This window comes from Homo sapiens, chromosome 13 (assembly GCF_000001405.40).
Source record: "Homo sapiens chromosome 13, GRCh38.p14 Primary Assembly".
NCBI lineage: Eukaryota > Metazoa > Chordata > Mammalia > Primates > Hominidae > Homo > Homo sapiens.
Genome location: NC_000013.11, coordinates 47395336 through 47408732, shown reverse-complemented (window position 1 = coordinate 47408732; position 13397 = coordinate 47395336).

Below are 13397 nucleotides of genomic sequence, written 5' to 3'. Positions count from 1 at the left end.
ATTAGAAACATTAGCAACGCTAGCCTAAGGCAAAACTGAGGAAGGCAAAGTTCTGTTGCTTCCCACAGCAACACTTGTGCCTGAGGCATTATGTTGCAGTGTTCTTTCAGGTCGAACTTCACCTGCTTGAGACTTCCCCTTTACTGTCCCTCCAGAATTCTCCCCTCCTCAGGATTAGTCCTCCATCTTATCCCTCAGTGCTCTGAGGATACGCAAAATGTTAATTAATTCTCACAGATGTATATGCTTTTTATTAGATCAGCAACCATCAGATAATTTGTGTACACCTTGGGAGTAGTTTCCTGAAGGTAATGAGTGCCTCTACTGGCTAGAGTCTTATGGATGATGTCTTGCCTACCATGGAGAGCATTAGCTCCTCCTGTACATAGGGTCAGCCTTGATCAGCTCCAAGAGCTCCAAAATGCATTTAAATTTTCCATTTTCATTCTCACTCATCCTCATATTTTCCCCTTGGCTGTATTTCATTTCTTTCTGTCCTCAGGCCAGTAGGTCCCTGACAGACTTTTTGATATCATAAAACATGTGCCACAGACATTTTGAATATCAATATGCAACTTCCCTTTTCTCTTCAAACGGTTTAGCAGTTTCCCTTGTGTAGTAGGGGTGTGGGTAAGGATGGCATTTGAAGAATACTTGGCTCCGTGCATGCCTTGTTCCACTCTCTCAGCATCCCTGTCAAGCAGTTTAATTATGCAAATGAGCACTCCTTAGCCGAGGGCTGGGGGAGGTGTGGCGGAGAGAGGAACAGTGCAGAGAAGTGCTAGACAGGAATTAGGCCAAGAATATCCACACTTCCTATATCGAGAAACCTCCCAGGGAGGATTTTTTCTTTCCCACCAAGATGAAAAATAATTTGAAAGTCTGCTCTTTTAACTTCCTTTACATTTTTCTTCTATTCTACTTCCTGTTCATAAAAAAATGGCCATTTATAACTACTGGTTTCTGTTTTAGATTTTTGAGTGTTTCTGTTGCCCTTTTAGAGAGTCTCAAGGTAAAATAACAGAAATCCTCATATATCTGGGATCTAGCATAGTTCTAGGCAAGCAGTACCTTCTTAAAGTTAGGAGGTTCCGACTCAAAGATGAAATCGACTGGTGATGTTGATGGAGACAGCAATGGATTCCCTCCAAGCATGTCTTGTGCTCTAAAGTGTAACTGACCCAGCAGTTCTAGTGCAGGGTTGGTCATGGCTGTCCAGTCCACATGTAACTGCCGTAAAGGAATAGAACAAAGGCTAAAGAGGACAATGTTTGTCCAGCCAGCATCCAGCTGGGTCTTGTATATAAACCTTTTACTTTATTTTAAACTTTATGGACTTTAGTAATTCAAATATCTCAAAATCCTTCTAGGAGTTCAACCAGATTTAAAATATAGTATGATTATCTCCAAGTTTTAATGCATAATCAAAGTCATGTAAATTTTTAGAGACTTTTAGACTGTTTGCTCATATATGGTTAAAACTTTCAGCTCAACAAGTATTTGTAAAGGATCTACTACTTGCCTAGAACTATGCTAGACCCTAGATATATGAGAATACATAAAATAGACACAACAAGTTCTCCTCTAATTAAGCAGGGCACCAGTGGAGAAGACACAAGTAGCCCACATATAACTGTAGAAATGAAATGGTGTAAGTGCAATGAAGCACAATAATGGTTTTCTATTTAAAAAGGAAGCATTATATAAAAGCATAAAAAAGAATGACAAAAACCAGAAAAATATTAAATGTATCCATCCAACAGCTTTTTATCTGAAGAAGAATACATTAATCTAATAGTGCTTTTGGATGGAAAGATTTAAAAAATAGTGTTTTTTTAAAATAGATGAGGCTTTATCTCTAGAGTTTTGTTTTTGTTTTTGTTTGTTTGTTTGTTTGTTTTGAGACAGAGTCCTGCTCTGTTGCCCAGGCTAGAGTGCAGTGGCACAATCTCGGCTCACTGCAACCACTGCAACTCCAATGCTAGTGGAAAAAATGACAAAAGAAAATTCACATTTTATAGTGACCTCCTGGGTTCAGGCGTTTCTCCTGCCTCAGCCTCCAAGTAGTTGGGACTACAGGTGCACGCCACTGTGCCCGGGTAGTTTTTACACTTTTAGTAGAGACGGGGTTTCTCCATGTTGGCCAGGCTGGTCTCAAACTCCTGAACTCAGGTGATCCGCCTACCTCAGCCTCCCAAAGTGCTGGGATTACAGGCGTGAACCACTGTACCTGACCAACTCTAGAGATTCTAACTTAACTGTTAGCATACCTAGGCAGAACCTAGCTATTAGAATATATATGTATATATGTCCCAGATGATTTTCATATACAACCCAGGCTGGGAACTACTGAGATAACATAATAATAAGAAAAAAAATAAACAAAAACAAGCAAATACATAGAATAAGAAATGCTAGTGGAAAAAATGACAAAAGAAAATCAGATTTTTATAGTTGTTTCTGAAAAATAGAGGGGGAAATGCCCAATCAATTTTTGAAGCCTCTATAAACTCATTTTTAAAAAATGTTAAGAACAGCACATGCAGACGCATACACAAGTTATAGTCTTAGTATATGGATTTCAAAATTCTGTATAAAATTTTACATAAGTGAATCTGCTGTTCATTTAAATAAATAAATCATGATCAAGAAGGTTTTATTCCAAGAATCCAAGAATAATTCAAAAGTAAAAAACCTATCAAATCAATCATATTAATGGACTAAAAGTGAATAATAGTATCAACTGCCTCAAGAGTTATAGTCATTTGATAAATTTCAATGATTATTTATAACTTAAAAATCATCAGAAATACTAGGGATAGAAGATAACTTTCTTAACTTGAAAAAAAAAAAAAGGTGTGTCATACCTCCATGTTCTCTCAAGTGTTAATACTATTCTTTGACATGCCCTCTCTCCCTTTTACACCTAACTGGTATTATTTTCTCAGACTTCAAGATTCATTCATGCTATGCTTTTTTGGAAAATCTTTTTTGATCACAGTTTATGTGCTATGGATCTCTATAGCTTATTGTACTTCTGAGATTATTAATTTACTCAGTATACACCCTTTTCTGTGAAGACTTTCTGACTTCCCATGAACGTCTAGGTAACCACTCAATAATTTTTTAATGATACCAAGAGAGACAGTTGAGTCAGGTGATGTGAGTTCAAATTCCAGCCCCACCATCTTCTAATTGGGTGACTTACTCAACCTACTCAACCTATTCAACTAAACTGTTGTGTCATGGATGGAGTGTTTGCTGGCCTTCTCACTTCTCATATTCCCCACTTTGAATGCTACTGGGTTGCAACCACTTTCTCTGTGACCCTACAAATCACAATATATGTAATTCTAAATACTGTACTTATATGTTAATTACTAATTGAGGGTTTTTTTAAGTTTCTTTAATATAGGAACAATGCTTTATTTATATTTACCAGACACTTAGCATAATACCTGGCACTCAATAGGTGCTCAGTGAATGCTTGTTGCATGACTATTGTTAACTTTTCTTTTAAAATAAAATATAATATAGTTAATTAAGAACTGAAGATGACAGATTCTCATGTTCACATTAAGCAATTGCTTGATTTGGCTTATGGGAAGACCTGGAAATAGCTTTGGGAAGGTTGGGTTGGTTAAAGGCCTTGGGCACTAAGAACAGTGAGATTTTCTAAGCTTTCTCCTCATTTGGCCTCTCCTCTAGGTAGGTTTCTCTGACCCTCCCACTGGTGCTAAGTTCCCTCCTTTTGGCTTTCTTAATACTTTGTGGATATCTAGTTGTGGCATTTGCCATATATTATAATTTCAGTTTGCTTGCTACAGTGTAAACACAGAGAGGAAATGGCTCATGACTGTAATCTTTTTCTTATGCATAATAGATGTCCTATAAATGCTTGACAAATGAATAAGTATGATTAGATTGGGAGGGATGAGGCAAAGGCCTTTAAGAATATTTGATGACACCTTGACATCCTCTGGCATCACAATCCCAGATCGAGAAAGACATATGTAAACATTGAATATCCATTAAAATTCAAATATCCATATAACACTTGTCCAGGACATATGCTTATTAAGAAAAGAGAGTGAATATATCCAGCAATTTAAAATAAGATCCCTTAAAATCAACAGTTCACTGCAAAGTAAGTGGGGTAGCTGTTTATTGGATGAAAAAGACAGGAAAATTGATGGATGCAGGTAGAGAGGACTCTGGGCAGAAGAACATGTAGTTCTGCTTTTATAATCACTTCGCTAAAAATACACATATAGAGAACACAGCTGTTAGAAAGGACATCACAATAATTATAGGACTCAGCATTAAAAGCTCTCATTGCTTAATAACCAATTCCTTTAAAAAAACAGAGAAGCAGCTCATAGATAACAGTTCATGAATTCAATCAATATTCATCATCACCCTGTACAAAAGCCTTCAAGCTCATTGTTACTCATGTGTCATGACACATGTGCACATACACACCACACACAAACACACACACACACATACACACAATTTCTTATTTAAAGGCAACCAGCACAGAAGATACATTTTAAAAACCATACCACGTCGAAGTTGGAAAACAAAATAAAGCACATCTTTCTGAGTAGTGACCACCTTGTCTAACTTTTACATATACTATATATTTAGTTACAATAATCTCAAGTTATGGTAATTTTTTCCCCTGGAAAACCAATACTTGATTCAAAATTTGAATTTTATATGTTTAACATAGAAGTGTTTTTATCTCAACAGTTCTCTTCCAAAGAAAGATTAAGAACAGTAAATCTATGCCTTCCAGAAAGCTTAATTTTCAAGGATACCCTCCTAAGTTATTAAATGAGCATTTATTTAGCACTTACTTTGTTCAGAGCAGCATGGGAGGCATTATGATATAAACAAAAGAGATAGAAAACAAGTTTTTCATAGCCTTGGATATTTCAAATACAGCTGGAGACACATATATATGATATTATATAGTTATAGATTTAATATTTTATGTATACAATCTGAAGTACTTATCAATGGATATATTAAACTATAGAAAGATAAGAAAAGAAATACAAAAAAATACAAGTGTTGGTCTGTATAACCTCTTCTCATTTCAATAAATCCTTCACTTTCCTGAACAAGTTATGTTTCTGATGGCATTAAATACTAAACTGGTTCTCTATTAAAAAATATTCTAAACTTCTCTGCACAGTATCCATAGCACTCTGACTTGTACCAACTCACCTCTTCAGCCTGTTACCCTGTCAATAGCCTTCCACATCCCATGGTTAGAGGTTCTTCAACTTCTCTGATCATTCCACATTCTTACATTCTTCCCTCCTTGAATTTTAGCCTGGACAGATTTTTTCAGCCAGCCCGGGATGCTCTTTTCTGTGTGCGTGTGTGTGTGTGTGTGTGTGTGTGTGTGTGTGTGTGTGTGTGTGTTTATGTTTCCAAGTGGAGCCTCTGCTCAATATTCAAGGCTCAATATAGAGATAATCTTTGAATACTTTTCTTACTTCCCATGAATGCCTGTGTAGCCACTCTGTGTTGTTGTTGTTGTTAAATGATGCCATGAGAGACAGTAGATGATGATGTGGGTTGAATGCCAGCCTCACGATCCTCCTAATTGTGTGGCTTTGGGAAACTTAATCTCTCTAAGCCTCTGACCTCTTATAAGTAAAGTGAGGATAATAATAGGACCTATCTTAGAGTTTTTTAAAGATTAATAAGAACATAAATATAAAGCACTTAGCATAGTGCCTGACACCTAATAAATATGTTCTAGCCAATATTTTTATTAGTTTATTTTGATGATGGTTGGAAAGAAAATCTCTTCTTGTAAGATTTAACAGAGAAAAATGTATCTAGATAGGGTAGAAGAAGTGACAGTATCTTATGCAAGTGTATATGATTAAAACTATAGCAATTTAGAACTATTTTTCATTAATTCATTCATTTAACAAACATTTTATTGACAACTTACTCTATGTTGGTCACTGTGCTTGGTATCGGGCATACAAAGATGAATATTACACAGAGACTGCCCTCAAGACTAAAGGGAGAAAGAGAGATAAATATGTATGGATATATATGCATTATAATATATCAAAATGTAATATAATGTGACAGATGCAGTAATAGAGATATGCCCGGACATTCCTAGGAACATAGAGAATGGACGTTTAACATAGCCAGCTGACAGGGCAGGGAAGACTTTTTAGAAGAGGAGGCAATGGAATAATATTTAAAAGGATAGCAAAGGTTTAACTCATTGGAATGAAGGAGGTGTGCCTGAGCTGGACTCAGGGAAAGGATCAGCACAGAGGGCTCAAGGATGAACGTGGAGTTGACTTAAAGAAGAAGGTGGAAAGATGCTCAAAAGTGAAGCTCAAGTGGTATGAAGAGGCCAGAAAGTATAGGTTTAACAATGGAACTTTGTGCTTATCTTAGAAGGAATGGGGAGCCATGGACGAGACATCTTTGTGTTTTAGGTAGGTCTCTCTGAAAGCTTGGGAGAAGTGATAAGACCAGAAGGAGAGAAATAATTTGGGAGGTGGTTGTCACAGTGCAGACAAGAGACAAGGATCTGAAACATGGTATAGTGATGGGACCATGTCAAAGGTGAGGGGATGGATTGGAGACCTACATGTAAGGGAATATTGGCCAAATATTTATTTAATCCGGAGTGTGAAAAAGACAAAGGAATTGTCTGACTTTTCTGGTTTCTAGCTTGAGGGACTGGGCATATGACAGTGGAAATATGCCAGTTGAAATGGAGAAAATGAGGGGAGAGCAGTTTTAGATGGAAGTATGACAAATTTAGTTTTGTATACATTGAGTTTGATATTTTTATGGGACAGATAAGATGCATTTGGACATATTCTTACATTGGATTCTTTGAATTGAAATGTAGCTTTGGGAGTCATTTGCATATAGCTAGTAATACAAATGATAAAAATTTACATGAGATCACCTAAGATGCAGGAAGAGTAATTAGCATCAAAAAGCTGTGAACCAACAACTAACTTTGGTGAACACCAAAAATTAAGGATGAGAAAAACAAGAGAAACCCACAAATAAGACAGGAAAGGAATACGAGAGATTCAAGATGAGCCAGAGGTATCCAATGAAGAAAGGATTTTAAAAAGGTGAGAGAGCTAAACAGTGCCAAAAGCATCACAGAGGTCCAATAAGAATAGGACTAAATAAATGTTCATCAAGCTATACAGCAGTTTATTGGAGTGGCTTGTGAGAATAATGGGTCTTTAGGAATTAGGGACAATGGTAGACTATTGCTTTGAAACTTTTGTCTGACATAGGTGCCCTAATTTGCTAGTGTTTACATAGGTAGAGATAGGGAAGATTTAAATTAGATTTTTATCTGTTTTATTTTTTATTTTTTTAAGGTATTTTAAAGAGGTTTATTTTGAGCTTATATGAATGACTGTGGCCCAGTGAATCACAGGTTTAAGGAGTCCTGAGGAACTGCATGCAAAGCAGTTGAATTACAGTTGATTTTACATTTTATTTTATTTTGTTTTTTAAATTATTATTATACTTTAAGTTTTAGGGTACATGTGCACAATGTGCAGGTTAGTTCATATGTATAATGTGCCATGTTGGTGTGCTGCACCCATTAACTCGTCATTTAGCATTAGGTATATCTCCTAAAGCTATCCTTCCCCCCTTCCCCCACCCCACAACAGTCCCCAGAGTGTGATGTTCCCCTTCCCGTGTCCATGTGTTCTCATTGTTCAATTCCCACCTATGAGTGAGAACATGAGGTGTTTGCTTTTTTGTCCTTGTGATAGTTTGCTGAGAATGATGGTTTCCAGCTTCATCCATGTCCCTACAAAGAACATGAACTCACCCTTTTTTATGGCTGCATAGTATTCCATGGTGTATATGTGCCACGTTTTCTTAATCCAGTCTATCATTGTTGGATATTTGGGTTGGTTCCAAGTCTTTGCCATTGTGAATAGTGCCGCAATAAACATACGTGTACATGTGTCTTTATAGCAGCATGATTTATAATCCTTTGGGTATATACCCAGTAATGGGATGGCTGGGTCAAATAACAAATGATTGAAAACAATAAAATATAGACAAAACATTAAGCAATAAGCAAAATATTTTTCGTTTTTGAGCAAATCATTCTGCATGTTTCTGCCGTGTAAACGATACTGTTTCTCCAAAAGTTATCTTCATTCTAATAGAGGACGTAATTTCAAAATGGCCAAAAGATCACTAAACATTAGTGTTTTTTTAATTGCAGAAGATCTAGTCTCTAATTGTTCAGAGCTTTTGATTAATAGTTATGATTTTATACCATAATGAAAACAGTGGAATACAGAATGTTTAGCATTTATTCTACAGTAATATGTTCAACTTGTTTTCATTAAAATTGAAAAAATAAAGCCAGGAAAAGCCAATTGCATCCCAAAGAACATGTATGAGATACAGTGAAGCCAAGTATCTGAGGTCTCTTGAACTTAAAGCTGACATTTCTCCTAAGCTGGTCAAGGTTACTGGAGACAAAGGGTGATAATTTTCCATTATCTCCAAAAAAAACTGGAATCTACAGCATCTTTTTATTTTTCTTCTTCCTGCACACTGACAGTAGAGTATTCTTAAAAAGGATATTTTATATTGTTAATTGTATCTTTCTTTTGTAAAAACCTCTGTAAGAGTGCTGATATTTTAGAATGCTGTATCCTTTCCTTCCATTTGGATGTGACTTGTCTTATAAAGGGCTATATTTATCAGGAGCAAGATATTTTGTGAAATTAAGTTGTGCCTGAGTACACACCCAGAGCTAAATTGGCATAAACACTAAGGTGTTAACTAAGGATTGCCTGGAAAGTTCGTGCTTTCAAAATACCAATTTGAATCTCAGTGACTAGAGAGACTGTAAAGCAAATCTTCATCACCAGGTGGCAATTGTTGGTTCGTCATACCTGGGCTGGGCCTGATGCAACCTGGCTTTCTTATCAAGGTTCTTCTGCTCTCATGATGTTTCAGCAAAGTGATGAAGACTAAGGATTTGGGGCCAGAATGGCCAGAGTTTTGGCTCTGCCACTTATTGTGTGTGACCTTGGGACAAGTTCCTCAGATTCTCTGCACCCATTAAAATGAGAATTCTATCACTCATAGAGGTTTGGAAAAGACTAAATAAGAACAGTCTGTAATATATAATAAGTATTCAGTAAATGTTAGCCTTATACTTTTTTTTTTTTTTCCAAGACAGAGTCTCACTTTGTCACCCGGGCAGGAGTGCAATGGCACAATCTTGGCTCACTGCAACCTCCACCTCCTGGGTTCAAGTGATTTTTCTGCCTCAGCCTCCTGAGTAGCTGGGATTACAGGCATGCACGGCCATGTCTGGCTATTTTTTGTATTTTTAGTAGAGACGCGGTTGCACCATATTGGCCAGGCTGGTCTCGAACTCCTGACCTTGTGATCCACCTGCCTTGGCCTCCCAAAGTGCTGGGATCACAGGTGTGAGCCACTGCACCAGGCCTATTTTTTAACTTATATCATTAGATTATGTGGATAGACTAGTTCTTAAGATATCAGTTAGCATAAACATCAGAGTCACTATCATCATCATCATCTCTCTATGATAGGTCACTATCATCAACCTATGACTTTAATTGAAGGCTTGTTGAGAGCCAGACAGACACCAGAAAGACATTGGAAAAAGCAGTAGATTTAAGACCACCCTTCAGAAATGGACAATTTGATCGGAGAGCTACAGTATGCATATCAGGAAAGAGACAAATACCAATGAAAAGGGATTTGTATTTTTGGCCAATGGGCAAATGCAGATAAACAGTGCCGATAGGTACATGATCACTGTGTGTGAAAGTGGTGAAGAGGGCTTCTGTGGCGAGTATGATCAAGAAGAATGCAGGATAATGAGCATCGTGGACAAAGAGAAAGGTGGGGAAAATTTTACAGATTCAATAAAAATATTAAGGGAATGTTGTATAAACAGCCTGACTATAGCAGAATATGAATATAGGGCAAGTAGTGGATACATTTGGAGAGCTGAACAGAGAGGCTTTGCCATAGGAACTAACTCTGGAATTAATCTTCTGTGAGAGGCATGCCTTATCTTCATTGCCTACTCTAGCTACCAGAATTTTTGTTTCAGTGGTTAATTGGGGTATGTCCATCCTAGACATTTCAAAGAAAACCTGGAGAATTTTTAATCCAGCACTTTTTGAAGACTACAAAAAAGAAAGTTTAAGTGCAGCAACAAAGGATAGTGACAAGAACCAGTTATTTGAAACTGAGTTCAAATCCTACCTTTAAAAAAAAAATAGTTCTAGCTATATACTTAAATAATAAGGCTTACTTTAAGAAGTTATATAAATTAGGGGAGACAGTGAATGACACTATCTGAAATAAAGCAGATGCTCAAGAAATGTCAGTTTTTATTATAGTTTAGACCAAGAACATCTAATCAATGGAATGAGAGCAGCATATAGTTAACCAGAGTATATGTATGTATATAAACAACCTAGTATATGTATGTGCTGTAATACCAACTTCCAATTCCTCTCTGCCAGAAACATGTGAAAACCTTTAGCCAAGCATGTGTTTCTGTGGCAGTCTACTCTGTAGATCTAATCTTACGTACTTTAGAGTCTTATCATTTTTATTCATGACACATGCTGCTCTCTTGGGTCAACAGTTTGCACTGGGATAACTACTTTAGTTAGTGACTCATTCTCCTTTGAAGAATACCTTTGGTTACTATCCATGCATTGTCATATGTTTATAATATGGTTTACAAAATGCCTATTGCTAATCATTTATTGCTCTCTCTTATCTTAGGGTTGGAATGCTGTGGTTCTTGACGGTATCCTAATCTCTCTTCACTTGTATGCCCCTTGGTCTAGTGCCCCTCCTTCTGATAAGAAAAGGAACTGCCTTATTTGGTCCTAGTTAAATGCCAATATGCTTGTATACATATGGATGCCATATCATTTCTTCAGTCAGCTATTAATGATAGTTGTTATTAAGTGAACATCTATTTGATAACATGGCTAGGATTTGCCCTTTGGGGTCCATGGACTTTCCTGTAGTTATATAAAACTTTTGAGAGCATTCACATACAATTCACTTTCTGGGAGGAATGTCTCTAGCTTTCATTAGATTATCAGAGTTCCTGACACTGTGCTTGGTACAGTGTGAATAGCTTTATATGACCACTAACCCTCATGGTAGTGAAATCCAGGGGCCCTATATCCCTAAAGATAGAGAAAATTCTGGTTCCCTCCCTTAGGTTCAATCCCATTGCTCTGTATTTAACCAAGAGAAATTAGCAGCTGATTATAAATGCCAAACACCATGGACAGGAGAGTAGGGAGGAGGTATAATTCTCAGAAGAAAATATGTTTTCAGCTTGGAAGAAAAATAGTAGAAAAGGATTCCTTGAGGAGAGGATTTGGCTAGCATGAAGAAGTTGAGCTATGTGAATAACAATGTCTTAAAATCTACTATGAATAGAGGGATAAGGAGGAGCACACCACAGCGTCACAAAAGAGGGGAAGTGCCCGGGAATATAACTCTTCCAGCATCACTCCTTGAGATGACAATAAGAGATGCAGGGAACTCCACCAAGCTTCGTTCAAAGCCTTTGAAATTCCTCAGGTCATGAGGAGAGCTCAGGTTCCTGAGAAACTGCAAGCTGAGGAGCCGGTTAGAACCAGAGTCGGGTAACTCACTGTGGACATGCCATGCAGCCACCCACCAGCTTCAAATCCTTGACCAAGTCTCAGCCTTGTCCTGCATCTCAGTGTCCTCATCTACATGAGGGGCAAACATTCGCATCTACTTCATAGAGCTGATATTAGGATTAATAAAAGCCAATCCAAGTAAAGTGCTTGGCATGGTCTGACCCTCAATAAGTACTCAATAAAATATTTCAGCTACTTGACCAGGCATGGTGGCTGATGTCTGCAATCCCAGCACTCTGGAAGGCCAAGGCAGGAGGACCACTTGAGGCCAGGAGTTCAAGGCCAGCCTGGGAAACATAGCAAGATTCCATCCTTACAAAAATTTTTCAAAAGTAGCCAAGTGTGGTGGCACGCACCTGTAGTCCTAGCTACTCAGGAGGCTGGGGGAGGAGGATCACTTGAGTTCAAGAGTATAAGCCTGCAGTGAGTGAGCTATGATCACGCCACCGTACTCCAGCCTAGGTGACGGAGTGAGACTTTGTCTTTTTGAAACAGGATAGCTGTCTCAAAATAGTAGCTGGAATATTACTTTGAAATAATAATATTCCAGCTACTATTATTATCGATCCCAGTTTACAGGTAAAGCTCAGGTAACTTGCCTAGTTTACACAGTAGCAGAGCAGAATTTAAACTGAGGTCTAACTCTTAGAACTGTGTTATTTTACAGCACTACACTGCCAATATAAATGTTCTATCTCCAGAACACTTGCTTTAGCCGTTTCAGTGTTGAAACGTCACTAGGCTACCCCTTTTTCTGTTTGTTCTTTTCTTCTTTCATCAGAGTATTTCTAGTCTTGTATTGCTTTGCTAGTCCATTTGTTTACTCAAGCAGCAAGTCAGGTGCTGAAACTTTGGGCCTGTGTATATTTGAAAATAGCATACAGTATTCAGTCGTTTAAGTGTATTTTAAAAATACACACATTTAGAAATCTTCAGCATAAAAACTGCTATTCAAATAATTGGGCAATACATACTTCCTACAAAATAGAGAAAACAAAATGAAAACACTATAGGAAACTGAAATGATATTTTTACAATACAGCACTAAACACTTTATTATTTCAAATAGCAAATTTGGAGACGTGTGTGTGTGTGTTTGTGTGTGTGTGTATGCACTGGTATTCAGGCATAGTGATAGTGCTAATTCCATCACTTAAATTGAATTTTCTAGTTTGTTTTGCCCTTGTCAAATGTTGTTAATTTCATCCATATTTAGATTTCCAGAAATCCTATCAGCCTTCCATGGAATTCTGAAACTAAGTGACATTTAACAATTTTCTTGTATAACTTAGGCTCTTTCTTTCTGCCTTCATACTAAATATGAGCTACAGGCTAAGATTTTAATAGAATAAATATTTGTGCCAGTTTTCAGTGTCTCCATGCATGCTTGTATTTAGCCCTGACTGCGATGTTTTCTAATTGCTGCTTTACATTTCTCCACTACCAGATAATAACTTCCTTTTGGTAATTTAGTTTTATCTATGGATCTTTAGTGTCTTTTGAATGAATGATGAATAAAAAGCAAAATGACTATGAATGAATATTACTTTTAATTTTTGTGACTAGAAATCATTGATTCATTTGTTTAAGCAGTAGTATACTGACTGATGACTTGGTATGTTGAAAACACTACATATTTATTTCATTCAAAAACAC